The following is a 16,131-nucleotide window of genomic DNA, read 5'->3' on the forward strand; positions in this document are numbered from 1 at the left end:
GCAGTGGCACGATCACTGCTCACTGTAGCCTTGACCTGACCTCCTGGGCTCAAGTGATTCTCCCACCTCAGACTCCCAAGTAGCTGGAACTACAGGCACAGGCCACCATGCCTGGCTAATTTTTTTTATTTTCTGTCGAGATGGGGTCTCACTATTGCCCGCACTACTCTCAAACTCCTGGACTGAAGTGATCCTCCCACCTTGGCCTCCTGAAGGGCTAGGATTACACGTGTGAGCACTCTGCCCGTCCAGGACATGAGTTTTCTAGTTCTAGTTCAGTCTTCTTCATTGTACCTTCCTAATTCCTTAAGTATCCATGAAAAATCTGTTAACAACTTGAAAACTGTGTTTATTTAAAACCTTGACTCTTTTTCTGTTAAGATATGGTTATCGAGGAAAGGACTGTAGAGCTAATGTTTACCTTCTTCCGACCGGGAAAATAGTTTATTTCATTGCATCAGTAGTAGTACTATTTAATTATGAGGAGAGAACTCAGCGACACTACCTGGGCCATACAGACTGTGTGAAATGGTTGGTATCATTTAACATTGGTTCATTTTTGTTCTTTCAGGCCCTCATTTTGTATTTTTTAAATTTGGGTTTTATTGAAAGTGATTTCTTGTGGAAAGCTCAGAATGTAAAAATATTATGGGTCATCTGTTGAATATATTTTAAAAAGAAAAAAAGGACTTTCGGCCTCCAAAATGGTGGTGTGGTATCAGCAGCAACAAAACACATCCTCCATAAATCATGATTGGAACCTCTTCTGCTTTCTCATGTCGTACAGTCCTTCTCTTCTCTGGTCTGTAGTGTGAAACATATATGGGACAGACTGGACATTTTCAGGTTTCTGAAAGTGATTATTGGTTACTCGATATTTATTGAGGATTTGTCCTATGTAGATAAATTTTATACTTGAAGCTTTATTCTTTTGGGAAGAAAGAAATCTAGCTGAATAAGGATCATAAGTATGCCGTAGGATGTCATACTACAAATGTGAGAACTCCTTTTAAATGCTTTTAAATTATTTTGTTACTTTTTAGTTAAATGCAATTATTTATTGTTTATTAATATTTTCCAACTTTTATTTTTTATTTATTACCCTTTTCCCCACTTAGATCCAAGGACTGACTGGATGTTTTCCAACATTTAAAAGCTTTTATGTCTGTACTATGCTGGCACCTGTATCTTTATCCAGAAAAAAATTAATAGATGACTATTATAATATTATATAGATATTGAACTTTTGGAGTTGATTAAAATATTGCCTTTTACACTTGCAGAATAATGTATGTACAAAACTATTTACTGCAGCATTGTTTGTGATGAAGATTAGAAACAGCCTAAGTATTTTTCAGTTGGGGACTACTGGTGAGGTTGTAGTGTACCTATAGGTCACCATGTAGCTGTAAAGAATGAGGAAGCACTTTATGTATTAATATGTAAATATCCCTCTGATGTGTTCTTAAGTACAAATATTTAAGAGCAAGAGAATGTTCACAGTGTACAACCGTTGTTGAAAGAGTCTAGATATGGACATAAAGATGTCTTTTTCAGAAATTTGCTAGTCACTCATATACGTGCTGTGAGTAATTTAGGCACATATGCTACGCTACTTCCCATTTCTATTTAAAAATTCCTTGCCTCAGTTTGACTTACAAGAATTTAGCGCTAAGAACTAATTAAAAGATTGAAAGCACTATGTGTGAAGATGCTCATTGCTGTTTTCTTTTGTTGAAAAGTAAGAAATGGCCTAAAAGATGGAAGAGTTGTCAAGTCAGCATGTATGAGGATTATGTAGCAAAAGGAAAAAATGCTTGTACTTTAATAGATTAAAATTAAACAGCACAATATTGCATCTTCACTATAATAAAGTCGTGTGATTTGTATGCCATTGTGCGTGGACTAGAAAGGAACTTCAGCAAATGAAAACAGTTCGTTAGCATGCCACAGTTATAAATATTTTCTTTGAACTTAGTGTTTCATTAATCTGTGCAGCTTAACAAGTAAAAAGTACAGCTGAAAATTCAGAAATCTTCAGATATTTGATGATTGTTTGATTTGCTGAAGAAAACAGATAAACGTATGTTTTTTAACGATTAAAAACTGCTTATTTGAAAAATGTCAGTACAAAGGTATTCTGTTGTTTCATGTTTCCTGTGTTTAAAATCATTCTTAATACTGCTTTTTAGCCTTGCTATACATCCTGACAAAATTAGGATTGCAACTGGACAGATAGCTGGCGTGGATAAAGATGGAAGGGTGAGTGGCATAGTGTTATGCCTTCTGTACCTAGAGACATTGCTGTTAGAGTGGAATCTATTGTAATTTTAACCACAACTCATTTGTTTTATTCTTTTAAAATTTAAGTACTGAGGAATTTCTAGTATAAGCATGGAAAAAACATTAGGATATAAGAACACTTTAAAAGACAGAGTCATACTAATAAATTTTGTTTTTAAAAAATAAGTGTTCTCCCTTAAGAAGCTATTTACTGTAAAAATGGGAAAACTGATACGCTCGTTACATTTTCTTTATATAAAATAACATATAAAGTAACCAGTGTCTGCGGGAAGGTACTGCAGTTTCCCTTAGTTGATGAACCTGTTGATTCTTATTTACTTTCTTAATTAATTAATTAATTAATTATAGGGGTGGAATCTCACTTCGTTGCCCAGGCTGGGCTCAAACTCCTGGGCTCAAGTGATCCTCCAGCCTTGGCCTCTTGAGTGAGTAGCTGGACTACAGGTGTGTGCCACCATGCCCGGCTAACTCTTGATTTTATGTGTGACTAGAACTGATACAACTTAAAGAGTTACAGTTACTATTTAATATTATTCAGTTGGTTTGTATAACAAATACCTTATTTCTAAGGATCAACAGTGACTATTAATGGTGACTGAGTAACGTATGTATGACTATACTCATGACATTCTCAGGCTTCAGTTTCTTTAAAGAAAAGGAGTAGAAGGTTTCTACTGGATAACTTCTAAGACCCCTTCCAGTTTCAAATGCTATTTAAGGGCTGTTTAGCAGTTTATTGGACATTGATAAAATGTGTTATTTTCTCAGGAATGAAGATTAGTAATACTAAAAGCAAAAGTATCCGGAGCAGATTTGCCTGGATTAGAATCCTGACTCCACCTTTTTTTTTTCTTTTTTTCTTTTTTTTTTTGAGACGGAGTCTTGCTCTGTCTCCCAGGCTGGAGTGCAGTGGCACAATATTGGCTCACTGCAACCTGTGTCTCCCAGGTTCAAGCAATTCACCTGCCTCAGCCTCCTGAGTAGCTGTGACTACAGGCGCGTACTACCATGCCTGGCTAATTTTTTATATTTTTAATAGAGATGGGTTTTCACTCTTGTTAGCCAGGATGGTCTTAATCTCCTGACCTCATGATCCGCCCGCCTCGGCCTCCCAAAGTGCTAGGATTACCGGTGTGGGCCCCCGTGCCTGGCCGACTCAACCTTTTAATAGCGGTATCACTTTGGGCAAGTTATTTAAATCTCTGTATTCCAATTTCTTCATCTGTTAAATGATAATTATAATAGTGTACCTGTAGTGCATAGGATTAAATGAATTAATATGTGTAATACTTAGAATAGTATGTGTAACATAGTAAATACACAAGTTATTTGCTGCTATTTTCTTATTTTCACAGTATAAGAAAATACCTACTTAAGATTCATTTGGAGGCATGTCTAAATCTAGTAATTTATTAGAAGCTTATCCATCCCTATTACTTTTTTAAATGGCATTAGTTCTGTGTGCTATTGGTGTTTATTTGCATCCACCTGTCCAGTTGCTCTGCTGTCTTGTGTTTTTGCAGCCTCTACAACCCCACGTCAGAGTGTGGGATTCTGTTACTCTATCCACACTGCAGATTATTGGACTTGGCACTTTTGAGCGTGGAGTAGGATGCCTGGATTTTTCAAAAGCAGTAAGTAACAATTTTTAGAGAAGTAAGCAAGCTGAACAAAAAAGCAGGAAAGAAGTTAAGCTCAGTTTTGTGTTTATGTGGCCATGAAGTGATAATCCTGAGTTGAAAAATGAGATGCTAGCTATTGCTAACATATTAGCTATTGCTAAATGGCTAGCATTTTGACCTAAGTCCTAAAGTACTTTGGTTTAGTTAGGATGCAAGATATTTTACTTTAATTATTCTTGGAATTATGCTGCCTTGAGGTAGAGCTCCCATGTAGTAGCAGGAAGTGGTTAGAGGAATATATACAAAGCATAGTACAATTTCAGACAAGCAATAGGATGCATTTTTGCCTTACCTTGAATCATAGAAAAGATCTATTTTATTTTAAAAATTCACAGCAAACTTGGCCAGTTCTGTACAAATATTGGCTTTTCTTGATGTCATATTTGAGCAGCAGAAACAATCAGACCTTTGTATTTCCTGAAGTCCTGAATTATCTTGGTTTTGAATTGATGACAACATGGGTTTAAAATTTTCCCCAGCAGTCCTTTCTAAGTGTTGAGGCTTTATTCTAAGGGTAAAATAAGACAAGATCTTACTCATTTAAACATTCTGGTTTTTTCTTGAATTGTATGTAATTATGATTATAAAGTATACAGTCAACCTTCTATATTTTAGGATACATACTTTTTTAGTTTCAAAGATAAATACCCCTGTAGATTTTATGTGACCTCAGTTATATATTCATATTATCTCTTCAGTTCTTAGCCATTGGCAACTGTATTCTGGATTATGGGAGTTTTGTGGGACATGGAGGAAAGGACACTTTTAGAGCAGAAAGATAAATTTTAGTGAATTTAGGAACTTTGCTAGCTTGAAGGCACTGAATGTCAAGGGTCCAACAAGTCAGGAATTGGGAGAAGGACATTTAGAAAAGGAGATAAGAGGTCATAAAGGCAATACTTTTGCTACTTTATTTTCTCCCATAAATCTCTATAGCAGGAACTGTTGTCAGGTTGTTGATAACCATTGTTACGGTGTTAAGACCATCTTGAATTGCCTCATAACTCTATCTTTTCTAATTCAGATAATATTCCAATTTAGGCTAAGAGATAAAGAGGAGAAGAGAGTAAGCTCTGCCCTTCCTCAGTGCCTCTCACTCTTCACTACAATGTTTCTCTGTTCCATAACATTGTAAAGCATATTTCACAAATGATACTATTTTTAAAAAGCATTTAATATCATCTATAGGTATTTTTCTTAAACTGGAATACTTAAAATACGTGAATGAGAATGGTTTCAGAAAAACAGGAAATTTCATTATAAAAAAGGAATTTCATTATAATTTTACTTAGGTTGTTTATTCAAGTTAATGTAAGTCAGGTATCTCACAGAAAACTGAAATCAGCAAACTCTAAAATAGCCATGAATTTTAGCTTATTCTGTCAAACTGTCAAAATTTAGTGAGGAACAAAGTTATGAAATTGTGTACATTTCTTCTTACCTACCACAAGGAAAAATAGCTTAATACAGGCAGCAAGAAGGAAGCATAAGATGCAGAAGGGACTAGGATAGCCTCAAAATTAGTCACTATCTCTGAATAATAGGAGTGACTAGATGGCAAGTGGAAATAACCTGGAGGGATGAGGGGATTTAAATAGAATATTTTGTAAAAGAATCTTTATATTTTTGAGGAAAATACAATTGTAGTAAATAGTGTATTCATTATGTTTCAGAGAGCGATGAGTTTAAAGGATTTTGGGTTATCTTACTATTTGCAGTTTTAATAAGATGGTATTTCTTTCTTAGAATGTTAGCCCTATCAGTGAATTTTAAAATGCCTCTGATTGACTTTTCTTTAGGATTCAGGTGTTCATTTATGTATTATTGATGACTCCAATGAGCATATGCTTACTGTATGGGACTGGCAGAAGAAAGCAAAAGGAGCAGAAATAAAGGTAAATTTTTAAAAAACCGAGTATTGTGTTTTAGAGTACGTTACTTGTTTTGCAGGTATTTGGAACTATATTGGTATTAGAACTATCTATTCGTAAGTCGCAAAAGCAGATCTACTAGCCAAATTCAGCAAATTTAGTGATTTGTCATAATCGTTAAGATATTAACACTATAGTTATACAAGATAAAATAGTCAAGCAACTTGAAGCAATTTCAATATTTCAGACATTACTATAGTCCTGAAATGCCAGAGTAGATGGATGTGTGATCTCATAATTAAGACTGAACACACTTCTTGGTTTTCTTCTTTAATAAAACATGTAATTTCATTCCATCTTTAAAGCTTTAGAAATCTAGAGGAAAAATTCAGTAGGAATACGACTGATGTAACTGAAGGGCTTATGTTAAGTTTTTTGGTCTTAATTGTGTTTGTAGGATTATTTTAGAAAATTCAATAGCATTTATAATTGCTATAATTGCATTATAACTCTTTACAGTACAAGGGTTGATCTCTGTGTAGATCAAGCTGTACGTTGTAAGAGAAGAATGTAAAATGCATTGAAGCTGGGTTTATATGAGCCAGAAATGGACTTCTCCCTCTGACAGGCATTTAAAAAGATTCAAAGTGATAGAATGGCTTTAAAAAGTCTGTGTAATATTTGCCATACTCTTAAATAACATCACATTACTCTCCAACTCCTCTCTTAACAGTTTTGTTTTGAGTAAGCTTCAAGCTTTTAGCTTGTTGGGCAGAAAGATGATGTGATGTTTAACTTAACATTTTGAAAGAAGTAGATTTGATTGTACTTAAAAGGAATATAAGTTGTCAGAAAACCTCAAACTTTAAAAAACATAAATGAAGATATAGATTGACTTCCAGTTATTCAGAGTAATTTAACATTGAAACATAGGGAAGTTGCATGAAAATGAAATATATCAATTTTGATTCTTCATAGTAAGGTTTACCAGATGAAGTCTTGTGGTTTTCCTCCTACTGGCGATTTCTCGATCTCCTTTCCAGGACTTTAAATGTTGGTGTTCTTCAGAGTTTTATTCCACATGCTCCACTGATACTATATGCTGCTCCCATGGCCTCATTTTCTATCTGCTGAGTCCCGTATCAGTTATCTCCAGCCCAGATCTCTAACAGGTTTAACTCATATTTCTAGTTGCATCCTAGACATCTTTATTTGAATGTCCTCTACCACAAATGAAAATCACCATGTTCAAATCTGTACATAATCATCTTTCCTAGCCCCCAACCACCAGTTTCATCCCTTAGTGATTGACTCCGCATTTCACCTAGCTACCTAAGCTAGAAACTTGGACATCATTCATGGCTCTTTTTACCTCACTTCTCACATCCAGGTAGTCAGGAAGTTCTCTAAACACCGTGTCCCAAATATCTGCATTATAGCACTTTCTAGTACAAGCGACTGCAAAACAATTGAAATTAACTTAATCTGGCCAGGGGTAGTCACTCACACCTGTAATCTCAGCACTTTGGGAGACCAAAGTGGGTAGATCATTAGATGTCAGGAGTTCAAGACCACCCCGGCCAACATCGTGAAGCCCCATCTCTACTAAAAATACAAAAAAAAAAAAAAAAAAAAAAAAATAGCCGGGTATGGTGGCAGTTGCTTGTAACCCCAGCTACCCTGGAGGCTGAGGCAGGAGAATTGCTTGAACCCTGGAGGCAGAGGTTGCAGTGACCCGAGATCACGCCATTGCACTCCAGCCTGGGCGACAGAGCAAGACTTCGTCTCAAAAAATAATAAAAATAAAGTTAACTTAATCAAAACAGAGGATGTATTGACTCCTGTTTAGGGAGGAAGAGAAAACCTCTAGTAAAGGTCAGAGGGAGATTTTGACTCAGAAATGACTTGATTCAGGGGCCGGATTACGGGTTGACTGTCTCTCCTCTTCTCCCTGTCTTGACCTTATTCTGTTCTACTATAGATGAGCTCCATCCTTGCTTAAGTCACAAGGATTTGGGGAGTTGATATATAACTTTTTAATTTATGTAAATTTAAAATTCAGTAAGGCGAGGGCAGCCCAGATGACCCGAGCTTGTGGGACCTCTCATGAAAAAAAATAAAAAATTAACATTAAAATTCAGTAAGGGCCTGGGTGCTGTGGCTCACGCCTATAATCCGAGTACTTTGGGAGGCCAAGGCAGGAGGATCACTTGAGTCCAGGAGTTCGAGACCAGCCTGGGCAAACATAATGAGACCTTGTCTCTACCAAAAAAAAAAAAAAAAAATAGCAGGGTATGGTGGTGCACATTTGTAGTTCCAGCTATTTGGGAGGCTGAGGTGGAAGCATCAATTGAGCCCAGGAGATTGAGGCTGCAGTGAGCTGAGATTGTGCCACTGCACTGCAGCCAGGGGAACAGAGCGAGACCCTGTCTCAAAAAAATTTTTTTTAATTTTCAAAATAAAAATAAAATTCAGTAAGGCAACTTAAAAACCTTACTGACAGAAATTAAAGAGGAGGGATGTTACATAATCATGGATAGGAGACGATGAAGACGTCACTTTTGCATATTGAGCTATATATACATTTAGCAGAGTCAAAACTCAGCTTTCATAGGAGTTGACAAACTGAATATATGTGGAAATATGAAGGGGAAGAAATAGGGAATAGCCACAATTGTAAAGAAAAAGAATAAGGTCAAAGCACATAAAATATAAAATATCAAGACTTATGTAATTAAGACATTGTGATACAAACATAGATCAGTGGAAGAGAATATAGAAACAGGTTACACAAATCAGTTGCTTGACTTATGCCAAAGGTGGCGATGCAGTAGGCGCAGAATAATGTTTTCAGTGAATGGTGCTGGCTTAATTGGATACTCATATGAAAAAAAAATTACCTTGACCCCTCCCTCACAGCATTCAGAAAAATCAGTTTTAGATGGATTATGCATCTTAGCATGAAAGGTAAAAAACAGTAAAGCTTTTAGAAGAAAATACAGAACACCTTTATAAGTAGATTTCTTAAGGCATATAAAGTACTAACCATAATGGGAGAAAAAGATAAATCATGTTAAAAACTTCTCTTTATCAAGACACCTTTTTTTTTTTTTTTTTTTTTTGAGACAGTCTCATTCTGTCACCCATGCTGGAGTGCAGTGGCATGATCTTGGCTCACTGCTGCAGCCTCCGCCTCCTGGGTTCAAGTGATTCTTCCGCCTCAGCTTCCTGAGTAGTTGGGATTACAGGCGTGTGCCACCATGCCCAGCTAATTTTTGTATTTTTTTAATAGAGTCAGAGTTTCACCATGTTGGCCAGGCTGGTCTCAAACTCCTGATCTCAAGTGATCCTCCCATCTCAGCCTCCCAAAGTGCTGGGATTACAGGTGTGAGCCACCACGCCCCGCCTATCAAGACACCTTTAAGAGTGTGAGAAAATATTTGTGATACATACTTCCAACAAAACACTCATATTCTGAATATATAAGCATCTATAGTTCAGTAAGAAAAAGACAGTTTTTTAAACAGCAAAAGACTTCCGGCACTACATAAAACAGGGTGTCCAGGTGATTAATAAGCATATGTAAAGGTACACAACCTCATTAATTATCAAAGAAATTCAAATTAAAACCCAAGTGCAATACCACTATGCACCTACCAAAATATCTTACGTGAAAAAGACAAAAATACTAAGGTTGCTGAGGAGGCAAAGTAACTGGAACTCTCACACAGTGCTGCTGGGCATGTAAGTTGATAATAGCCATATTATCTCTTCAGTTCTTAGGCGTTGGCAACTGTATTCTGAATTATAGGAGTTTTGTGGGACATGGAGGAAAGGACACTTTTAGAGCAGAAAGATAAATTTTAGTGTATTTAGGAACTTTGTGAATTGTTCCTTAGTGAATTTAGGAACAATTTAGTGAATTTCAGAAAACTATTTGACATAACCTAAAGTCGAACATATGCATGCTTTCTGGCCCAAATTGTTCATCTCGGCAGAAATATATACATGTGTTTGCTAGAAGGCAAATAGCAGTGCTGTTTATGGTAGCCAAAAACATGGAAACTACCCTGCCCATCAGCAGGAGAATGGTTAAGTCAATAATGTGATATTTTCATACAAAAGATTACAATAGAGCAAATAGAATGAACAAGGTACACCTATATGCACCAACACAAATGGATTTTAGAAATGAAATGTTGACAAAATAACCCAGACATGAAGGAATGCATTGTGTATAATTCCATTTGAATGAAACGGAGAAAAATAATCTTTGCTGCTAAGAGTCAGGATGATGGTTAAATAGAGGAAGGGGATAGTGACTGGAAAGGGGATCTAGGGTATTTATGGAAGGTTAGTAATGTTTTGTTTCTTGTTCTGAATGCTGAATAGCGATGTTTTCAATTTATAAAACTTTATTGAGCTATGTACTTAAAATCTGTGTGCATATATATATGTATATAAAATATATATCAATAAAAAGTTAAAAGGATATATCCTGTAAGGCAATACTCATACGCAAAGTGATTTAAACTCATAGATTTCTTCAGTTTATATCTTGACTGTCTTATCACTAGCATGATGGGTATGCTGGGAATATTTGTAGTTAGTTTTACAACCCTTTGATTATCTTAATTTGGCCTAAGATTTAACTGTCATGTAGTTTTGATTTGTCTGAGTGAAAACTAAAGACTGTTCAGTCAATCTTTAAACTTTACTTAGACTTGCTAAATATGTATATAGTTCTATACTACTGCATCACTGTGGAAAATTACGTAACAAGCAAGATGTGCTGTACTTTATCTTCAACTTTTTTTTTTTTCTTTTTTTGGTCAGGGTCTCACGCGTCACCCAGGCTGGAGTGCAGTGGCTTAATCACAGCTCACTGCAACCTCAAACTCCTGGGCTCAAATGAATCCTCCAGCCTCAGCCTCCCAAGTAGCTAAAACTACAGCGCGCACCGCCACGCCGGCTAATTTACTTTTTGTAGAGACAGGTCTCACTATGTTGCACAGTTGATCTCTAACTCCTGGCCTCAGCAGTCCTCCCACCTTGGCCACCCAAAGCATTGAGATTACAGGCATAAGCCACAACACCTGGCCTAGATTAGATTTTATTAGTTGAATTTTATTTATGTGCTTATGCAAAGGCCCTTAAGCCCAAATGTTAAGTAACAGAAATGTAAAACTCATGGAAATATTGGAACTGTGAGGGAAAAAAAAGAATTTACAACAACCGTTTCAAGTGTCATTTAATTAGTATAACATAAAATTTATTATTTTTAACTCGGTTCATAAGACTATCATCTTTATCTTGGTTTTGTTTCGTTTTGAGACAGAGTTTCACTCTGTCACCCAGGCTGGAGCGCAGTGGTGCAATCTCAGCTCACTGCAGTCTCTGCCTCCCGGGTTCAAGCAATTCTCTGCCTCAGCCTCCCAAGTAGCTGGGATAAAGGCGCCCACCACCACGCCCAGCTACTTTTTTGTATTTTTAGTAGAGACGGGGTTTCACCATCTTGGCCAGGCTGATCTTGAACTCCTGACGTCGTGATCCACCCGCCTCAGCCTCCCAAAATGTTGGGATTACAGGCGTGAGCCACCACGCCCGGCCCATGTTGTTTTGCCAAAAGGAAATGCTTCCGTACACGTAAAGTTCTTTGCTAAGTTAAAAAGTAGACATTAATGATCACCCTGTAAATAAACACTAGCTAATAATAAGGAGCTTTACAGGCATGTAGTTAAGTTTCACCTCAGTGTTAAGTTTGAGTAGATGATTTTACTATAAAATATCAATTTAGTGAGAATTATGATTTACTGAAATTATAGAAATACACTGTTTTAGAATGATATCCTCAATTGAAATCATTTTAATGAAAAAACTAGTAATTTCTTCTTGAGTCTCATGCTTGTATTCTTCCTAGTCCACCATAAATCTTTTAAACTTAATGCCTGTCTTTGCTAGATTTTTTGAGGGAAAAGAGCATAAAAGCCCTCTGGGAATGTTTTTGTTTTAATTTCTGTAGGAATCAGTAGTGACCATTCTAAATCTACTTTTTAAGGGTTCAGCCTGAAGGACATATCTCTAAATTAGTCCTAATCTCTAAACATTTTGTTGAGGCTGGGCGCAATGGCTCATGCCTGTAATCCCAGCCCTTTGGGAGGCTGAGGTGGGCGGATGACTTGAGGTCAGGAGTTCGAGCCCAGCCTAGCCAACATGGTGAAACCATGTCTCTATTGAAAATACAAAACTTAGCTGGGCATGGTGGTGGGCGCCTGTGGTCCCAGCTACTGGGGAGGCTAAGGCAGGAGAACCACTTGAACTCCGGAGGCAGAGGTTGCCGTGAGCCAAGATCACTCCATTTGCACTCTAGCCTGGGTGACAGAGCAAGACTGTGTCTTAAAAAAAAAAAAAATTGTTGCGTGAATGAATGCTCCATAATAATAGTACAAAGAAAGATAAGACTTTCTTTTCTTTCTTTCAATACAAATAGCAGTGTCTTTAAGAAAGAATGTACATTGCTCTTAAATTCGACAGTTTTAAGTGTACTTTTCTGGCATGTGCAAGAAGTTAAAGGTATTCATATAAGTGTCTTTCTAATGCAGCGTTTTTATAAATAGCATAAAAGGTGATACGATAATACAAGGACATCAAATTTAAATCATCCCAAAAAATACATTATCAAAATTTTTCAGGAAAATTGTCTTAGAAGAAGAGGCATTTTCTCAAAATCTTGCCCTATCGTTAATTGTAAGTAGCAGTAATTGAATTGATACTTGAAGGAGATAAGGATATACATTCATCTAAAGCTTTATTTCCCTTTTCATAGACAACAAATGAAGTTGTTTTGGCTGTGGAGTTTCACCCAACAGATGCAAATACCATAATTACATGCGGTAAATCTCATATTTTCTTCTGGACCTGGAGCGGCAATTCACTAACAAGAAAACAGGGAATTTTTGGGGTAAGAATCAGATTGTTTTAATGTCATTAGGTGTATAAGACTTTAATTTTTTTAATTGTTTAATAAGCATCAAGTTGTCATGGCAAAAAGAAAACTGAAAATTTTTATTGTTTCCTTGTAGAAATATGAAAAGCCAAAATTTGTGCAGTGTTTAGCATTCTTGGGGAATGGAGATGTTCTTACTGGAGACTCAGGTGGAGTCATGCTTATATGGAGCAAAACTACTGTAGAGCCCACACCTGGGAAAGGACCTAAAGGTACAGTATTCTTATATTAAACTCATTTCTGGTAATTCTCACATAGTACTCTTTCAGTCCCATCTCTTAGACCAGGAGAGAAAGAGCTGCAGTGTAACAATATGAGCAAGTCACCAACATACCTTTTGTTTTCAGCATTCTTCATAATCTTTTTTTAATGAAATTATTTATCCAGTTATTTATTAAGCTTATATAACCCACATTTGACTATACTGAACCATTCCCTTTAGGAAGTTAATAATTAGAAAGAAATGATATGGATATATGTTAGTTTAAAAAGTATAAAGGCTCACTTTCCCCTGAGCTGGTTCTGGGATATCTGTTAGAGCAGAATGCATGGCCATGTGATAAAATGGAAGAGTGGAGAGAAAAGGAATAAACTCATAGTTCAATCCACTTCTCCTTTTTCTTTTCCTCACTGCAGCCCTTCTTCCCAACCTTAGTGTAGGGGTCCTTGGCATCCATTCAGCTTTACCTCAAATCAGTTTTCCTAAAAAACACAGATTTATTCTTAAGTTTTATTTGCACCCAAATATACAGGTCCTCTTTGCCCTTTTCTACGGTAAATGAAAAAATTAGAGGAAGGACATGGAAAATAACCTTTTTTAAACCCCATTTTTCGTTACTATTTAAGAATAATCAAACTTTGAAAAAAATGTCCAGAGTACCATGTACTTCCTTCAGAGTAGGAGGTTCTAAGAGAAAAATTGGAGACCTGGTTCTAAAACCAGTGGGCCAGGAGAAGAGAGAGATTCTTAGCAGCAACAGGTGGTAACAGTAGAAATAGAACTAGCTAGGTCAGCCAGTCCTCAATAATTCACCAAAAAAAAAGTAAGAAAGGAGGTAATGGGGAAATCACCCTGAGTTTTCTGAGACATTTCCCCTGGGGATTGGCAGGGCAACATGTCCTTTCTCTTGTTCATTCACCTCCCCTAAACACACTGGAACAACACCTTATACTTCTCTCTCTCTCTCTCTCTCTGGAGTCCTTGCATCAGACCATGAAAATCACCCTAAGTGATTTATGAATAAGGGAATCCCTGTTCGTGTGCTCAGAAAGACCCGATTTACATATCTGCCTTCCCCAATAAGCTTTCCCTGGGCTAGCACAGTGTCTGGCATTTGCTATTAGCTGTTTGAAAACTATTTGTCAAACATTAAGGAAATAACTTTCATCTTAACTTTGGGTGTCAATGTAGGAGTAAAAGTTGAGTAGTATTGATGAAAGCACTGTTTTCACCGAAATGTGGAATTTAAATTTCGCATTACTGTTTTCTTATGACTGCACAGAGTTTCATACTGTATTTTTTAGGACAGATATTCAGATGCTCCTTGACTTCTGGATGGCATTATATCCCGATAAATCTATCATAATGTCAAAAAATAATAAATTGAACCAACATAAGTTAGGCACTATCTGTACGAAATTAATGTTTTAATTAAATGTTTTTCAAATCCATTCACCTGAATGTCTAAGCTTGGCAGTTGAATTAGACCTATTAAGAAGTTTAAAACAAGAAGCCTTAAATTGTATTACCATTGACTCCTATCTCAATCATTGGCCATATATTCTTAGCCTCTTTCGTTCAGTTTAGGTTCAAAATTTACACACGAGAAGAATGGCAGTGGGTTGAGGGTTCTTAAAAAATAGAGTTACAACAACAATATATTATCAACTACTTTTCCCATTTATTTCTCTTTTCTTTTTTTCTTATTTTTCTTTCCTGGGCACATTTACTTAGTATCAGAAATGCCAGGAACAGCATAGTCTATTAAAACAGTGACTTTTAAATTGTTCACGAATCTCCAACACTGAGCAGAATTTGCGTATAAATATACCCTTTTGTTAGCCTTAATATTTGTGTTCAGGTTGGGGACAGGAAGAAGAGGTTCAGAGGTTTTTATTTTGGTCTTTGAAAAATTTGTGGCTCAACCTCTCTACATATGCACAAACAGGAAACAGGAAATCCAATCTTGTAAATTGCTGGGCACATGAAATGGCCTGTGTTGTACTTTGCCACATGACTAACCCTATTATGGGCAAAGTTGCTAAGAATTTGAGGTTTTCAATTGGCTGGGAAGAATTTGGTGAGCGCAGTGAAATAAATGGAAGTCCAGACCAGAGTAAGTGTCCACAGTTTCCATTTTTTAATTCTGGCCCCCAGATTTCAGTAGATCCAATTTACATATTCCCAACTATGACATTTCTGCACCTGTGGCAGTCTTACCAACCAAAATTTGAGTGTACTGTGACATCCTGTCTGATAAAAGGAGATTTTTTGGATGGCAGAAGTATAATTTCACAACTAATCCTTTTACTTTTGTAATAGGAGACAAACCAAAACTGTATTTTATGTCTTAAAAGTGCTTTTATATATTTTTTTCTTGTTTCCAAACCATTTCTTCCTTAAACATGAATTAATGTGAATCTTCAAAGTAATTAGTGTTTTCTGTTTCTTAAGTAGGTATGAGGTATTTGTTATTTATTTCCTACACATATGAAATAGATTGAAATTGTTCTTATGCAAAATAATTTGTAATCTTTTAAGTGGGTAAGTGGAAGTTGAGAGTATCTACAGAACCATTAAAATGTTCACCATTCTTAAGTCTTGCAAAGGAGCTAAGAAACACTGCCATTTTATGTGTTCTCCGAATAATCAAATGGGCCCAGTTGCTAAGAATACAACATAAATTTCAAAGTCTCCCTAATATTTTATTCTTTAAACAGGCACAGAAAGCCTTCCAAACATCTTTATTTGGCAGGCAGTGTAAACTTGCTTTTTATGGAAGCTTTGTGTCTGTTAGAGATGAGAAGAAAGGGTGAGGTTTGTGATTAAGTTTGGATGGACTTGACCATATGAGTAAGCCTGAAGGCAGAGTAGGTTTTTTTAATTCAAGGATAATTATTTTCCTTGGCAGGGATTTCAAACATTATTTGGCAACTGAAATATCAGAAATACAGGCCCATAAGAAAGACATCTTTGGCTATAAATTTGTTTTACAGGTAAATACTATATAAAGGAAACTTTGATAATTTGTTTAAATTAGAAACACTA

The 16,131-nt window shown here is 36.2% G+C and overlaps 1 protein-coding gene across 8 annotated transcripts in view; it reads left to right on the top strand.

Annotated features, from left to right (window-relative positions):
* Positions 1 to 16,131, top strand: part of EML4 (EMAP like 4) — a 163,196-nt gene that overhangs the window by 113,089 nt on the left and 33,976 nt on the right. For all 8 annotated transcript variants that reach the window (XM_047443953.1, XM_006711992.3, NM_001410776.1 and 5 more), the window contains 6 exons: positions 382 to 531; positions 2,193 to 2,262; positions 3,828 to 3,938; positions 5,786 to 5,881; positions 12,684 to 12,818; positions 12,940 to 13,075. In XM_047443953.1, the coding sequence (XP_047299909.1) occupies positions 382 to 531; positions 2,193 to 2,262; positions 3,828 to 3,938; positions 5,786 to 5,881; positions 12,684 to 12,818; positions 12,940 to 13,075 (698 nt within the window). The remainder of the gene's footprint in view (positions 1 to 381; positions 532 to 2,192; positions 2,263 to 3,827; positions 3,939 to 5,785; positions 5,882 to 12,683; positions 12,819 to 12,939; positions 13,076 to 16,131) is intronic.

The sequence above is a fragment of the Homo sapiens genome, chromosome 2 (genome assembly GCF_000001405.40).
Source record: "Homo sapiens chromosome 2, GRCh38.p14 Primary Assembly".
Taxonomy (NCBI): Eukaryota; Metazoa; Chordata; class Mammalia; order Primates; family Hominidae; genus Homo; species Homo sapiens.